The following is a 13,915-nucleotide window of genomic DNA, read 5'->3' on the forward strand; positions in this document are numbered from 1 at the left end:
TGCGTGACTCCTATTCCATACAGTACTGGGATCAGAAAGCCCAATTTTGGATCATGTTTTACTACTATCTTAACTCTGAATTTGGGCAAGTGACCTTTGAGCCACATTTTTTTTCCATCAGTAAATAGAGGCTAACACCTTCTGATGACTGAGAGAACTAGGAGTAGATTCCTGATTGGAGCACACCATTTTGTAAGGAAATAGAGCACTACTCTCACCCTATACATGCCATGAAGCCTCTCCCAGAATGTCCTCCTCTTTATGCCTCGCTCAGTTCATGAGGGTACAGGGTTAAGGACAGTTTTTAGTCCTCCTTTTGCAGTAACCCTGAGCATTCTCCCAACCTCATTCCCACCTCACAGAGTGAAGGAGTTGAATAGTCTAAGGGTCCTTCCAGTCTTACCGTAGTGTGCACTCCTGCCTGTGAGCAGCACCTAGGATCCAGAGCCCTGTGAGGTACACTCAGTCATTCTGGAGCATCTCTGTCAGCCATCTTGGAGGGCCTCACTTCCCCATCTGTCCTTTCAGGGCTTGTGTCCTTGGCCTCTTCTCTCTTCACTTAATACCACTGCTTAAGTATTTTGTTTTCAGATCCAGTTGAGGCTGATGAAAGTATGACTCAGGGAAATAGCCACATGTGCAGGTATACACGTATAGCTCTAAAAAGGTTGGCTCATGGACTCCCATATGTTGAACACCTTGCATTATAAGCCCACTCTACATAACTTCATCCACATGTATGTCCTCAATCACCGTGCTATCTGTGGCAGCCAAAAAATATTTCTAGCCTAACCATTCTAGAACGCCAAACAGTCTATCTGTCTGTATATAAATCTCCAGGGCTGGTTGTTAACAGACAACTGCCTGGATGCCCAGAGACATCTCACATGTAACATGACCCTCAAACTTGTCTTCCTTTCTCCTGGTAACATACTTTGATCCTGGCACGACCCAGCCACTTAAGCAGAAACCTGAAATTTCATGAAATCTCCCTTTACAACTCCCACACTAAATCCATCTTACCTTGTAAATGCCTCTCAAATCCAACATGTTTTTCCTACCCCTCAGTGTTAATTATTTCTCTTCAGTACTATACCACAGCCTAACTAGTTTATCTGCTTTTCTACAATCCAACCTCCATACTAGTTATCAATTATTTTAATTAAAAAGAAGTTGACCATTGCTACTTAGGGCAAGTAGAAGGGGTCTCTAGTGCCTTTAGGATAAGTTCAAAATAAATGGTCTAACCCACAAGACTTAAAAAACTCTGCCCTTACATCTCCAGCCTTTCGTTCTACCACACATCCTTTGCTTGGCTTACCACCCACCAACCTTAGGTGCTCCCAAATGGGCCATTAAAAAAAAATACCCCAGGCCTTTATATATGCTGTTCTGCCAGGAGTTGCCTCCCAGCCCCATCTCCCTAACTCCCTACTTTTCCTTCCAGATACTTATCAAATGTCCCTTTTCCTTAGCAACATTTCCTACTGAATTCCTCTTCTCTCATTCAGGGGCTCCTTTAGGGTCCACCTCTATACTCCTGTATATCTTTGCATATCCTCTAAAATGACATTTACCACTCATAAAGAGTAAAATATATTATTTGCATATTCTCAAAAATGACATTTACCACTCACTCCCCCACGTCCCGTCTATCTCTTCTACTAAGCTTCTTGAGAGTAGGGCCATGTGCTCCATCCTTAGAGCTCCTATGACCTGCAGTGGGTTTATAAGGTTAAATAAGTTATTACTGCAAACATGGATATGTTTGTTGGGTAATTATTTCCCTAATACTGCCTCATTTCCAGAGCTTGAGTGTCTATCCACGATCAGTTACATAGCCTATGGTTTTTTGGTTTTGGGTTTTTGCCTTTTTTTGAGACAGGGTCTTGCTCTTTCACCCAGGCTGGAGTGCAGTGGCGCAATCATGGCTCACTGCAGTCTCAAACTCCTAGGCTCAAGTAATTCTTCCGCCTCAGCCTTCCGAGTAGCTGGGATTACAGGCATGAGCCACCACATCTGACTAATTTCATTTTTGTAGGAACGGGGTCTTGCTATGTTGCTCAGGCTGCTCTCAAACTCCTGGGCTCAAGCATTCCTCCTGCCTCAGCCACCCAAAGTGCTGGGATTACAGACATGAGCCACCATGCTCAGCCTGGCCTATGGTTATTAATAGGTTGGGAAAAGTCTCTAGAGAAGAGATGGTATGTAATGGAGGGGATTAGGTGGTCCCAGGCAGTTACTTCTAGGTAAATTGTTTGAACAAGTCCAACATCCTATGTCTCTTCCTTCTTTCCTTGTTGCCTTCCCTCTCAATCTGTACCACATCAGAGAAATTACAAGTGGCAGCTCCAAAGGTTTCTTCAGTTGACGCTGTCTCCCTATGTAGTCCACCTGTGCCCTCTGGTGGCCACAGTATGCTACCACATTCCACTTTAAAGATAAGTCTGGCTTCAGGTAGCATGAACAGCAGTTTAATAGGTCCACAACCTTGGAATTAAATTATCTGAGTCTACTGTGGTTTTGTATTATGATTTACTAAAAATATTAAATAATAAGTAAACAGTGCTTGAAATATAATAGACAATAAATCTTAGCTTACTTGCTTTTGAATCAGGGCCCTTATGAGTAATGGCACAGAAAACTTGAATTATCATCTATTGATTAGGCTGGTGGCTCTCAAACACTGAACCCCAAGACCTGTCAGTGGAAAAAAGGGCTGATAAGGCAGGTCCTTGACTCTAGATGATACTCATTATGTTCCAAATAGGGATGGAATGACAATAGAGTGCATTTATAGAACACTTAGTCTCAGGTACACCTTTTTATCCTCATGACAACACAATTGAGGTAGGTGCCTAGGTATAGTATGTTGGCCTACAGAGAGGATTAGTCAACTGGAGCAGAAGTGGGGTTGCCACTCAAGTGAGGTTGGAGTGACCAAAGAGGCACGGAGAAGCCACAGAAAGCCTGACGAGGGATAATATCAACCTCTTTTAGCTTAACAAAGTACCAAAAACCCCTGATATCCAATAGAATCGAAGTGTTAGCCAGTGTAAACTGAACTAAAAAATTTTCTTTTTCGGATGATTTCCATCTTCCGATGGAAGTCCAGGATCTAAATCATGATATATTAAGTAAATCAAGAATGTTAAATTTGTTATTATTATTATTATTATTATTTTAGATGGTGTTTCACTCTGTCACCCAGGCTGGAGTGCAGTGGCAACCTCCACCTCTAGGGTTCAAGTGGTTCTCCTGCCTCACTCTCCCAAGTAGCTGGTATTACAGGTGCCCACCATCATGCCCAGCTAATTTTTGTATTTTTAGTAGAGACAGGGTTTCACCATGTTGGCCAGGCTGGTCTCTAACTCCTGACCTCAGGCAAACTGCCTGCCTTGGCTTCCCAAAGTGCTGGGATGTGTGAGCCACCATGCCCGGCCAGGGATGTTAAATTTGTTTTTTTAAAAAAGCAAGTTTAAGCACATATTTACTGAACATCTACTATATGCAAAGCACTTAGACAAGCCCTTTCATACTAAAGTCTTGTGTGTATAAATGGAAGCCAACAGAAGTCCTGCAATGACTTTTTGGTGGAGGGACATGGGTTCAACTATAAATAGTATATATTCTATATACTTATCAAATTACATTATATATAATTCATTATCAAAGAACAGAGATTATAACCTGGATTGGAATTATATTTGAGGCAACTATATTCATGGAAAAATTTTGCAAACCCTTTTAAATGGAATAAAACCCTACCTTATCTCCAAGCCATTTCTAGTAGAATCAATGCTTAATACAGCTTTAAAAATAAGGTGGCTTCAACACATTGTACGTGTCTATCAATTTATACACAAATGTTTTTTGAAGTGCCTACGATGTGTCCAGCACAGTCCTAGGCACCATTAAGATTATAAAGGTTGACTGATCCCTGCTGTCATGGAACTTACAGTCTAAAGAGCCAGAGAACATCTAGAAAACATCTAAGTATTTGAGTGGTACAGACAAGAAGTTTGGAGAAGATGAGGGGAAAACAGGTGGAGTAGTTGCTGGAGTCTCCAAGAAAGCCTGGAAGAAAGAGGATTCCAGTTAGTTCCTGAATGTGTAGGGCCTAGCTTAGTAGAAAACAGGATGAGGCATTTGGGCAAGGCACACAGGCAGAAGTCGGTATGCAGTAAAAGAAAACAATGGCCTCTTCAGGGAGCATTATGTACACAGAATTGTATCGAGCTAACAAGTTGGAAATGCAGGTTGTAGTCAACTATAGAGGATACTAAAACTCAGCTGAATAGTTTTTTTTGTAGGCATTTGAAAGCCACTACAGACACTTGGGCAGGGGAAATGGTGTGATGCCAATAGATCAAACAATATGTGCAGAATGGACTGCAGGAGAAAGGTGAGGGAAGGAATTAGATACTGTGGCAGTAATCCTGACACGAGAGGATGATGACAGCAATTAAGGAGCTGACAAAGAAATACAACCACAGGACTTAGCCAGAAGAGTTTGCCTCTCCCACATGTTAAGAATTTAAAATATGTACAGTACTTTTAATTCAAATGATCATATTAGTTTATTAAAAGAAAAAATATCCAAAATAAGCTATAAAATAATCTATTTAAACATCTGCTGTTTTTCAGTGATTGTTTTGTTAATGTGGAAGCAACATTTTCTATGATTAATCTGCTGTTACCTGTTTTGACTGAGCTACTACAAAAAGAAAAATCACTGAATTGCTATGGGTTTCTGAAATATCCAAAAAATTAACCTGAAGCAGGGGGAAAAATGACATCACACCATTAGCAGGTATTGTGTGAAACTTCTAAAAATGAAACTGACATTTATCTGACTTATTAGGAATAAATACTCTCTAATGAACTCTCTAATGATCCTCTCACCCTTTCTGGAAAGTGAGAGGCACGCTGGGCTGTATGTTCTCCCCCATGATTCTGATTAACAGGATGCTCTATTATTATAACCTCCCTCCCTGGTTGTATCCATGTCTTATTAATTTTTTTTTTTTTAGAGATGGGGGTCTCGCTGTGTTGGCCAGTCTGGTCTCAAACTCCTTGCCTCAAGTGATCTTCCCAATGTGCTGGGATTACAGGCATGAGCCACCATGCCCAGCCTATGTCTTAAATGCACTGTATTTCCTTGTACTCCAGATCCCTATTAGTGAAATGCCTATTAAAACATTTCGTAAGGCCAGCATGGCAGTGTGCATCAGTAGTCCCATCTATTTGGGAGGATGGCTTGAGGCCAGGAGTTAGAGAGAGTAGTGTGTTATAATCATGCCTGTGAATAACCACTGCATTCCAGCCTAGGCAATATAACAAGACCCCATCTTTAAAAACAAACAAACAAACAAACGAACGAACAAACAGAAGTCTTGTAGTGCTTCCAGCAAATCAGCAGAAAGGAAAAAAGAGCTCTAGAGTAAGAACAGTTGATTCTTTTTTTAACAATTAGTGATGGGGGAGTATTCAGATGGCCAGCTAAAGAGAGAAGTTCTAGAACTCAGCTAGACCAGTATATTGCTTTATTTAAATTGGCTCAATATCCTATCTAAAGCTAGACCAGTGGTTTTCAAAGCATGGAGCCTGGACTGCATCAGCTGAGAATGTGTTAGAAATGCAAATTTTTGGGTCCCACCTGAGGTCTACTGTATCAAACTCTGGGGGTGGGCCTAGCAGCCTTGGGTTTTAACAAGCCTTCCAAGTGATTCTGATGTAAGCTAAATTTGGAAGCCCCTGAGATACACTTACTGGAAAGAAGCTGGACCCAGGCCCACAGTGTACTTGATGTTCCTGTGGTTGGTTCAGTTTTCAAATTTGTCTGCACATTGGAATCACCTGGAGAGCTTCAAAACTACCAATGCCTGTGACCCGTCACCAAAGATTGTGATTTAATAGGCCTGGGATATGGCCTGAGCTTTGGAATTTTTAAAGGATTCTCAAGTGATCCTAATTTGCAGACAAGTTTGGAAACCCTTGGATGAATCAAAATACATCTTGAATCAAGGACCAGAGACAGCCAAAAACAAAAGAAAAGAAAACACACATATTAGTCAAATTCCATTCAAAGAAGTTTCCTGGCTATTTCAGAGTACTGGAATGTTGTCACAATAACATTGCTTTACTTAAATTGGCTCAACAACCTATCTAAAGAAATCTTTATTCTTGTAAACTACATTTTCTGAAATAAATTCCTGCATTATTTTGTTTGGAGGAAATCTGTAATTTTGGAATCAATAAGGGTTTGTGTCACTCTTTTCATTAAATATTCATCTATGCCATTTAATTGTCCAAAAATGGCATCAGGAATGTCTACACAAGTGGAAAGGAACTGTCTAAGTTTCTGTACACTTGATATGGCTTCTGTGATGGTGACTTTTGGTTGCTCTGGTAAAGATACCTCCCCTTCATCTTCACTTCCTGCTTCACTGGTATTTTCGCCAGCCACCATGTCCTGGATGATGTCTGTGTCCTGAGAGATAATGAGATCATCATCTGCAGTAACAAAGTCCTGGAAATTTACTTCATTTGGGACACAGGTGGCAATAGCCACTGTGTGCCACAACTTTTCAATGGCAATGTCTGGTTCACTGGCTGCTGATTCTGTGTCACATTCTGCAAATTCCATAGGGACGATGCCTGCCTTCTGCCAACATTTCACCACTGTGGATGGCTTGACTGACCACCACGCTGCAGCAATCATGTCGATGGCCTGCTTGATGTCCACCTCTTCTTGATCCTCACTGCTGTTGAGCTTGAGGAGGATCTGTTTTAGAAGGTGGCTCTGGTACAGTACTTTCATGGTGTGAATTATGCCAAGATTCAGTGGCTGCAGGACAGCAGTACAGTTGGAGGGCAGATACCCAACCTGAATCCTTTCCAAGTGTGGAAGCATGTTATGAGCAGAGCAGTTGTCTATGAGCAAGAGGATCCGGCGTTCCGCCCTCTTCATCCTGGCATCCACTTGCATCAGCCACTCATTAAACAGATCCCTTGTCATCCAAGCCCACTGGTTGGCTCGGTAATCACAAGGGAGGGAATGAATGTTCTTGAGGCAGTGTGGGCTGGCTGACCTACCAACAATCAATGGTCTCATTTTTTCAGTCCCCGAGGCATTGCAACAAAAGAGTGCTGTCAACCGCTGCTTTGCTTTCTTGCCCCCTCTACAGTGGTCTCCTTTAGCAGCAAGTGTGTGCTGGGGAAGCAACTGGAAAAACACTCCTGTCTCATCAGCATTAAAGATATCATCTGGGCTGTAGTCAGCAATCAGTTTTATAATTTCCCCTGCATGCCACTCATTAATCTTATCTATTCCTAGACCATTCATTAACCTGTCACTATCTTCTCTACAGACTGCTTTCAAAGCAATTCCGTGGCGATCTCTAAATCTGTTCAGCCAGCCCACACTTGCTTGAAAATTGTCATAGCCAAGCATGTTGGCCAAGTTTAGTGCTTTTTTCCGAATGACAGAACCAGTCACAAGAATGTTTTTGGCATGGATTTCTTGAAACCAAGCAAAAACAGCCTTATCAATGTCATCATAAAGAGCGCTCCTCATCCTTTTCCGCTGGGGTCCCACGGATGCCTCCCGCACCTTTTCTTCAAATTTGGTGCGATCCTTTAAGAATGTAGATAAAGTAGAGGGAGTGATACCAAATTCTTTTGCCACATCACCTTTCCTCTTGCCTGAGTCTACAGCTCCCACAACTTTCATTTTCTCCTCCAGAGAGAACTGCCGACGCTTCTTGTTCCCCTTGTTTGCCATTTCCAGGGAATGAGGGCTGGCCACAACTAACAGGACTGTCTGGTTCCTCCTCGCGGCTTGCTTTGCCCCAAGTGTGGAAAGCTGAGAAGACAAAATGGAGTACCTATCAGGAAACAATGGATTTCCCCTAAAAGATGGTTCAGGATTTTTACAAATTGTATTAGGAAAGGACAATTTACAGTCAAAGTAAAGAAAAGATAGGATTCATGCTACTGACTTTTTGTAGAGGCTACTTGTAAAGACTCAGAATGTTTGAAACAGAAGTGATCTTATCTAGCTTACTTAAACATTCTGAACCTCCATAAAAATGGGAATAACAATGTTTGCTCTGCCTACCATGAGAACAGATTGAAATAACAGGCAGTGAAAGAGCTTGGCAAATAGCATTGCACTGTATACATTCCGAGTTATTCTCCAGCTTCTTTGATGGACACAGAAACTGGGGCCCTGGGAAGGGGCCTACCCGGGTTCATGCAGCTTAGATTTCTTAACTCAGATTACTATTTCTGCCAGGCCATGGTCCTGCTTGAAATTCCACCAAAGTGAGATCTTCAAAGCTCTACCACCATCTGGCCTGGAAAGATTTTTACTGTGGGAAGATGTTTCTGGTAGCCATACATTCATTTTATATTTACAGGTGCCAAGCTTTAAGGGTAGAGTAATGAACAAAAGAGTCAAGGTCCCTGTTCTTATGAAATATAAAATGTGGTGGGAAATATAAAAAGTAAACAGATAATTACAGAGGGTGATATGTGCTATAAAGGAAATAAAGACTATGACAAAGAATAAAAGAGGAAGATCTACTTATTATACAAAGGGTGGTCAGGGATGTCCTCACTAAGATGGCACTGAAGCTGAGATCTCCAAGAATATGGGGAAAGGGCTGTCCAGCAAAAGACATAGCATCAGCAAAACCTCAAAAGCAAAAATAGGCCGGGCGCTGTGGCTCATGACTGTAATCCCAGCACTTTGGGAGGCCAAGGCGGCCAGACCAGCCTGGCCAACATGGCGAAACTCCGATTCTACTAAAAATACAAAAATTAGCCGGGCGTGGTGGCGGGTGCCTGTAATCCCAGCTACTTGGGATGCTAAGGCAGGAGAATCACTTGAACCCAGGAGGCGGAGGTTGCAGTGAGCTGAGATCGTACATTTGCGTTCTAGCCTGGGCAACAAGAGCAAGACTCTGTCTCAAAAACAACAACAACAACAAAAAACAAAAAAAACACACACACCGAAAATAGCTTGAGGTATTCAGGGAACTGAAATATTTGCATGAATCCAAGTATATGACAAAGGTGGGTGGCCAGACCATTCAAAGATGCCATGGTAGGCTGGATGGGGTGGCTTACGCCTGTAATCCCAGCACTTTGGGAGGCCGACGCGTGTGGATCACGAGGTCAGGATATCGAGACCATCCTGGCCAACATGGTGAAACCCTGTCTCTACTAAAAATACAAAAAAAATTAGCCGGGCGTGGTGGCGGGCGCCTGTAGTCCCAGCTACTCGGGAGGCTGAGGCAGGAGAATGGTGTGAACCCGGGAGGCGGAGCTTGCAGTGAGCTGAGATCGCGCCACTGCACTCCAGTCTGAGTGACAGAGCAAGACTCCGTCTCAAAAAAAAATAAATAAATAAATAACTGGGTGTGGTGGCGCATGCCTGTAATCCCAGCTACTCGGGAGGCAGAGGCACAAGAATCGCTTGAACCCAGGAGGCGGAGGTTGCAGTGGGCCAAGATCACACCACTGCACTCCAGCCTGGCGACAGAGCGAGCCTCCATCTCAAACAAACAAACAAACAAAGATGCCATGGTAAAGAATTGGTATTTTGAGTGCAACAGAAATCCACGGATGTTTTCAGGCATTTTAAAAGGATCACTTTGGCTGTTCTGTGGAAAATGGATCAAAGAGGCAAAGAGACCAATTAGGTGACAGATTATGGCAGAAGTGATGGGCAGGTTGTAGTACAGTCCCTCTCTGGGCCTATTTTCTTTTTTTCCTTTTTTTTTTAATACATATTTTTGAAAAGTCCCATGGTTGCAAACCACAAGCCCAGATGATGCCTAAGGTCCTTCCAGATTTAAGTCTTGGACCCTAGATAGGTGCTTCAAACTCAAATGCCTTTAGGGGCCAGGATGGTGGCGTAAGTGAGTGAAACAGGGATTGAAGTATTTGGAGAATGGTGTGGTGTATCCTGTCTAGAAGTATTCAGAATTTAAAACAAACAGTCCCCCTGCCCTACGCTGGTCCAACAAAACATGATCCAGCAGTAGCAGTTTTGGGTAATTGCCTTCGTAGGCATTTTATCATGAGAATCCTTAAAGGACAAGAGAACCTGCTGTGACTTTATGCTATGACTGTCCCTTCTCAAGGGTAGATTTTTACTATCACCTCCATACATGTATCCATCCATTCATGACATGTACTATGTATTAAGCAGTATGCTTGATGCCAGCCATACAGAGATGAATGGAGCATAGTGCCCACCTTTGAGGAGCCTACCAGGGAAGACAAACACTAGAGCATGTGAAAACTAAATCAGAGGTTACGGAGTACTACTGGAACATAAATGTGCAGATAATCAACTGGAATGGAGCATGGATGGGCAGTGCACTTCAAAGAGGGAATAATATGGTGGGCCTTAAAGAATAAACAAATAGGAACTCATGAGATGAAAGGAAATATTTAACATGAAAGGCAATGAAATACTATATAGGAAATAGAATGTCCTGGTCAGGAACAAAAAATTCTTTGGAGAAGAAAGCAAGGACCAAATCACAGGAAGTCCTAGTCAGGTTTCTAGCTTGCTTTGGGGGCATTAAGAGGCTTTTGACGGTTTTTTGGTTTTGTTTTTCTGGAATGACATGATCAGATTTACAATATAGTCTTTTGGTTGCAGGGTAGAGAACCTAATGGGTAAAGTTGATTTTCCTAAGAGATGGCCTTAAATCTGAAGATAAAAGCAGGCTAAACCAGTAGGCCATATACAGTTTGGATGTTAATTTGAGTGCAATAGGAAGCTATTGAAGGATTTTAAGGAAGGAGAGATGACTGCTGTGTAAAGAATGGAAGGGTATCAGAGAAAAAAGCAGGAGTCCACATGAGATAATGGTGGCTTGGATTAGAGTAGTAATAGAGAGATGGTGAGTAGTAGTCAGTCTGGGGCTATGTTTTTGCAAGCCCTGTGCTGGACCGGATGTGAGGTGAAGGAGGAGTCAAGGATAACGCCCAGGTTTCTGGTTTGAGCACTGAGGAATCCAGCAGATGATGGTGCCATTTACTGAGGTGGGAGGATCTACTGCGTAAACCTCATTTGTTAAGCACTTTACTTGCTTAATATTGCTTACTTGTGGCAGGGCTGGGATTCAAACCCAGGAGGCTCACAACAAAGCTAGCACTCCAAACACTACAGAGTGCTATATAGCTGGTTCTGGGAACTACTAATATTGAGAGGAGACATAGAAAGAGAATGAAGCAAGAGCCAAATCAGACAAGTCTTGGTCAAGCTAAGACGTCTGAATTTTATTTTAAGTGAATGAGACACTGGAGGGTTTTAAGCAGGGAGTGACTTGATCAGACTTACAGTGCAAAATGATCAATCTGACTGCTTCGTGGAGAATGGATTGTAGAGGGGATGTGGGGAGAACTACATCAGTCCAGGCAGGAGATGATGGTGGCTAGAAGGTTGGTGATGGCGGTAGATGCAGAGAAGTAGGCAGACTGGAATACAGTGAGGGTTGTGCGGGAACTTGTACAAATGTGGACAACTTGTGACACTGGAGAGAAAGGACAATCCAATCCAATCCCTATTTGATTTACGGAAGCTCTCCATACGGTCATTCAGCTCAGCTTGAGTCACTCCAGGAACTCACTACCATCACTATTCGTGGGCCAGTGGGAGAGACGGATTGAGGGCAGATCACTGGAGTGATGAAGGCGCTACTTGATGCGGCACTACGTATGAACCCGATCCTGAATGAGAGGGAAAGACTGAGACAGGCTGAGGTCAGGCCTTGAACGTCGTGCTGAGGAGAGGGTGGTATTGTAGGCTTCCCAGCGCCCGACGTGGCTCTGAAAGGTGAGGCGGGGCCTAGATCCCTCACGCTCAGCACAGCCCCGCCCCTGTTACCTGAACGCCCCACAGCAGTGCCCGGGGGCTGAGCGGCCGGGGCGTCCCACCGCCGGCAGCCACAGCTTCCTCCTCCGCCCGGGACCTCTGGCCGGAAGCAGTCCGTTCGCCTTACTAGACCCGCTCCAAGCCTTTGAGCAGTTCGTGTGGGTCCGCTCCCAAGCTAGGGCTGGGCTGTTGCGCTTGCGCCAGGGGTCGCATGCAGTCACGCGCTGCCGACCGCTTCCGGTGCGCCGCGAGGGCCGCCGGGACGGGTCTCCCTGGCGATCCGTGGTGTGCCGCTACTGCCGGTGCAGCCGCCAAACCGGTGCCTCGGTGACGACCGTGTCCCTGCCGTCTTCCTCGAGCTCCCCGGGGCTTGACCCCCGGGGCCCTCGGCAGGCATCGGTGAGGAGCCTGCGGAGCGAACCTGTGCTCCTATTCTTGCCCTTCAGGACCCCATATCGCGACTCCGAGGAGGGGAAGCGAGAGGGGCTGTCGCGACTCCGCGCCGTGTGTCGCCGGGCGGGGCCGCGGGGCCGGGGCTCCTTCAGCCCCCGGGATGCGCGCGCGAGCCCTCGCCTCCACTTCCTTGTTGCTGCTGTCACGACTGGAGCCGCCTCTCGCCGACAGCGGGGAGCGCGAGTGCGCCAGCCATCCCCCTCGTCCAGCCGCCGGGCCAAGCGCCTCCGGGAATGTGAGCGGCGCAGCTTGCACGCTCCTCCGGGTAAGTCCCGCCTTCGAGGGCCGCGCCGAGCCGCTGGGCGACCTCGAGTTGGATGCTGCGGCTCTCTGAGCCTCTACTGAGTCTTCCACAAAGTAGGGCCACTGAGCCTTAGTGTCCTCCTTCCGCAATCCGTATGGGACATTCGGATGTCCCAGACGTCTTAGCTTGACCAAGACTTTGTCTGGTTTGGCTCTTGCTTCATTCATGACCCAGAATGAGGGAAAGGAGCTAGCCCAGAGTCAAACTGTGGCCCATGGCTGAGCCCTCAAAGGCAATCTCGTGAGATTCCAAGGAGGATCTGATGGGACAGAGAAAGTGTCTCGCATATTTCAGGTATTGACCTTAACTCTGTTTTACAGATGAAATAACGGAGACTTAGGGTAAGTAGATTGCTTAAGGTCAGAGGTCCCCGTGCTGGTGCGACTGGTGTAGTCTGTACTAGAACCCGGATTTTCTGTCCTCTAGAGCCCTTCGTTTTTAACCTTAAATTGTCCTGCCTTTTTTTGCATTGCTATACTGCTGCCTCGAGTCTGATAACAAACTTGTACTCAGGCTTAGAACAGGGTAATAAAACAAACAAAACCGTAGGGTGTTGTCTTCCTGCCCTCAGCCCAAGGTGGCTGTAATGAGTGTTTCCTAACCCGTTTTGCGCAGGGTGCTTAGTACCCTATATGCCATTCATTACAGATGCTCTCCTGCAGTTACTGCCCTTCTCCACAAGGCTTTCAGCCGCCCAGAAGTCAATTCAGGGCAAAAAAGCGCAGTCCCCACGTAGCCTTGATTTGAACTACTGCTTCCCTTATCCTTTACTGGCCTATTGCTTACCCAGCCAAGTTGTAGACTGTGTTCTCTTCCTGGGTTGCACTATGGCAGTTAGAATGTAGGTTTTTGTTTTGTTTTTCTTTGTTAGTTTAGTTTTTGTTTTTAATAGGAAGAGGAATCATTTAGAGATGACAGAGAACTAGGAAGAACCTAAGGAATAATGTGTGCTTTACCTGGGGTATATCCTGAAAATTATAGGTGAAATACAGTGTGTCTGCAATTTCTAGGAGAGGTTTTTTGTTGTTGTAGTTGTTTGTTTTTTTAAGCTTTCGCAACATTGTCAAAAGAATTCTTGCCTCCAAAAGACTAGGAGCCACTGGGTTCATCCTTTTCTCACAGTAGAAACAGTTGAAATTTAGGATGTGGAATAGACTTCTCTGAGATCATAAGGTTAGAGTTTAGGTCTCTTGACTCCACATGCAGTGCTCATTATACCTTATTTGTGGAGTGAGGTCTAAATGAGAGGTGTGTGGGCT

General features: G+C 44.6%; 2 protein-coding genes across 6 annotated transcripts in view, besides 4 other annotated features; one reads left to right on the forward strand and one right to left on the reverse strand.

The window, feature by feature from the left end:
- Positions 2,269–2,328: an enhancer, noted in NCBI's record as "active region_23393". NCBI's record gives its function as "activates an Ori minimal core promoter by ATAC-STARR-seq in GM12878 lymphoblastoid cells {active_cell/tissue: GM12878}" and the evidence as "EXISTENCE:reporter gene assay evidence [ECO:0000049][PMID:35858748]".
- On the reverse strand, positions 4,556–12,092 carry TIGD6 (tigger transposable element derived 6). Of its 3 annotated transcripts, NM_001412172.1 has the most exons (3): positions 11,912–12,092; positions 11,366–11,754; positions 4,556–7,867 (listed from the first exon to the last, which is right to left on the reverse strand). In NM_001412172.1, exon 3 carries the CDS (start codon positions 7,784–7,786, stop codon positions 6,221–6,223), a length of 1,566 nt encoding a protein of 521 aa, NP_001399101.1. In that variant the 5' UTR covers positions 7,787–7,867; positions 11,366–11,754; positions 11,912–12,092; the 3' UTR covers positions 4,556–6,220. The 3 variants fall into 3 exon arrangements, with proteins under 3 accessions (NP_001399101.1, NP_112215.1, NP_001230182.1); NM_030953.4 differs by lacking the exon at positions 11,366–11,754; NM_001243253.2 differs by having other exon boundaries at positions 11,366–12,092.
- Positions 11,316–12,104: an enhancer, noted in NCBI's record as "H3K27ac hESC enhancer chr5:149379441-149380229 (GRCh37/hg19 assembly coordinates)". NCBI's record gives its function as "activates a minimal SCP1, AML or CMV promoter by ChIP-STARR-seq in naive H9 embryonic stem cells {active_cell/tissue: H9 hESC(naive)}" and the evidence as "EXISTENCE:reporter gene assay evidence [ECO:0000049][PMID:30033119]".
- Positions 11,832–11,911: a silencer, noted in NCBI's record as "silent region_16505". NCBI's record gives its function as "represses an Ori minimal core promoter by ATAC-STARR-seq in GM12878 lymphoblastoid cells {active_cell/tissue: GM12878}" and the evidence as "EXISTENCE:reporter gene assay evidence [ECO:0000049][PMID:35858748]".
- HMGXB3 (HMG-box containing 3) overlaps positions 12,177–13,915 on the forward strand; it is a 52,390-nt gene continuing 50,651 nt past the window's right edge. For all 3 annotated transcript variants that reach the window (NM_014983.3, NM_001366501.2, XM_047416963.1), the window contains exon 1: positions 12,177–12,617. The gene's annotated coding sequence lies outside the window, so the exon portion shown is untranslated. The remainder of the gene's footprint in view (positions 12,618–13,915) is intronic.
- Positions 12,992–13,071: an enhancer, noted in NCBI's record as "active region_23394". NCBI's record gives its function as "activates an Ori minimal core promoter by ATAC-STARR-seq in GM12878 lymphoblastoid cells {active_cell/tissue: GM12878}" and the evidence as "EXISTENCE:reporter gene assay evidence [ECO:0000049][PMID:35858748]".

Source organism: Homo sapiens, chromosome 5 (assembly GCF_000001405.40).
Source record: "Homo sapiens chromosome 5, GRCh38.p14 Primary Assembly".
Taxonomy (NCBI): Eukaryota; Metazoa; Chordata; class Mammalia; order Primates; family Hominidae; genus Homo; species Homo sapiens.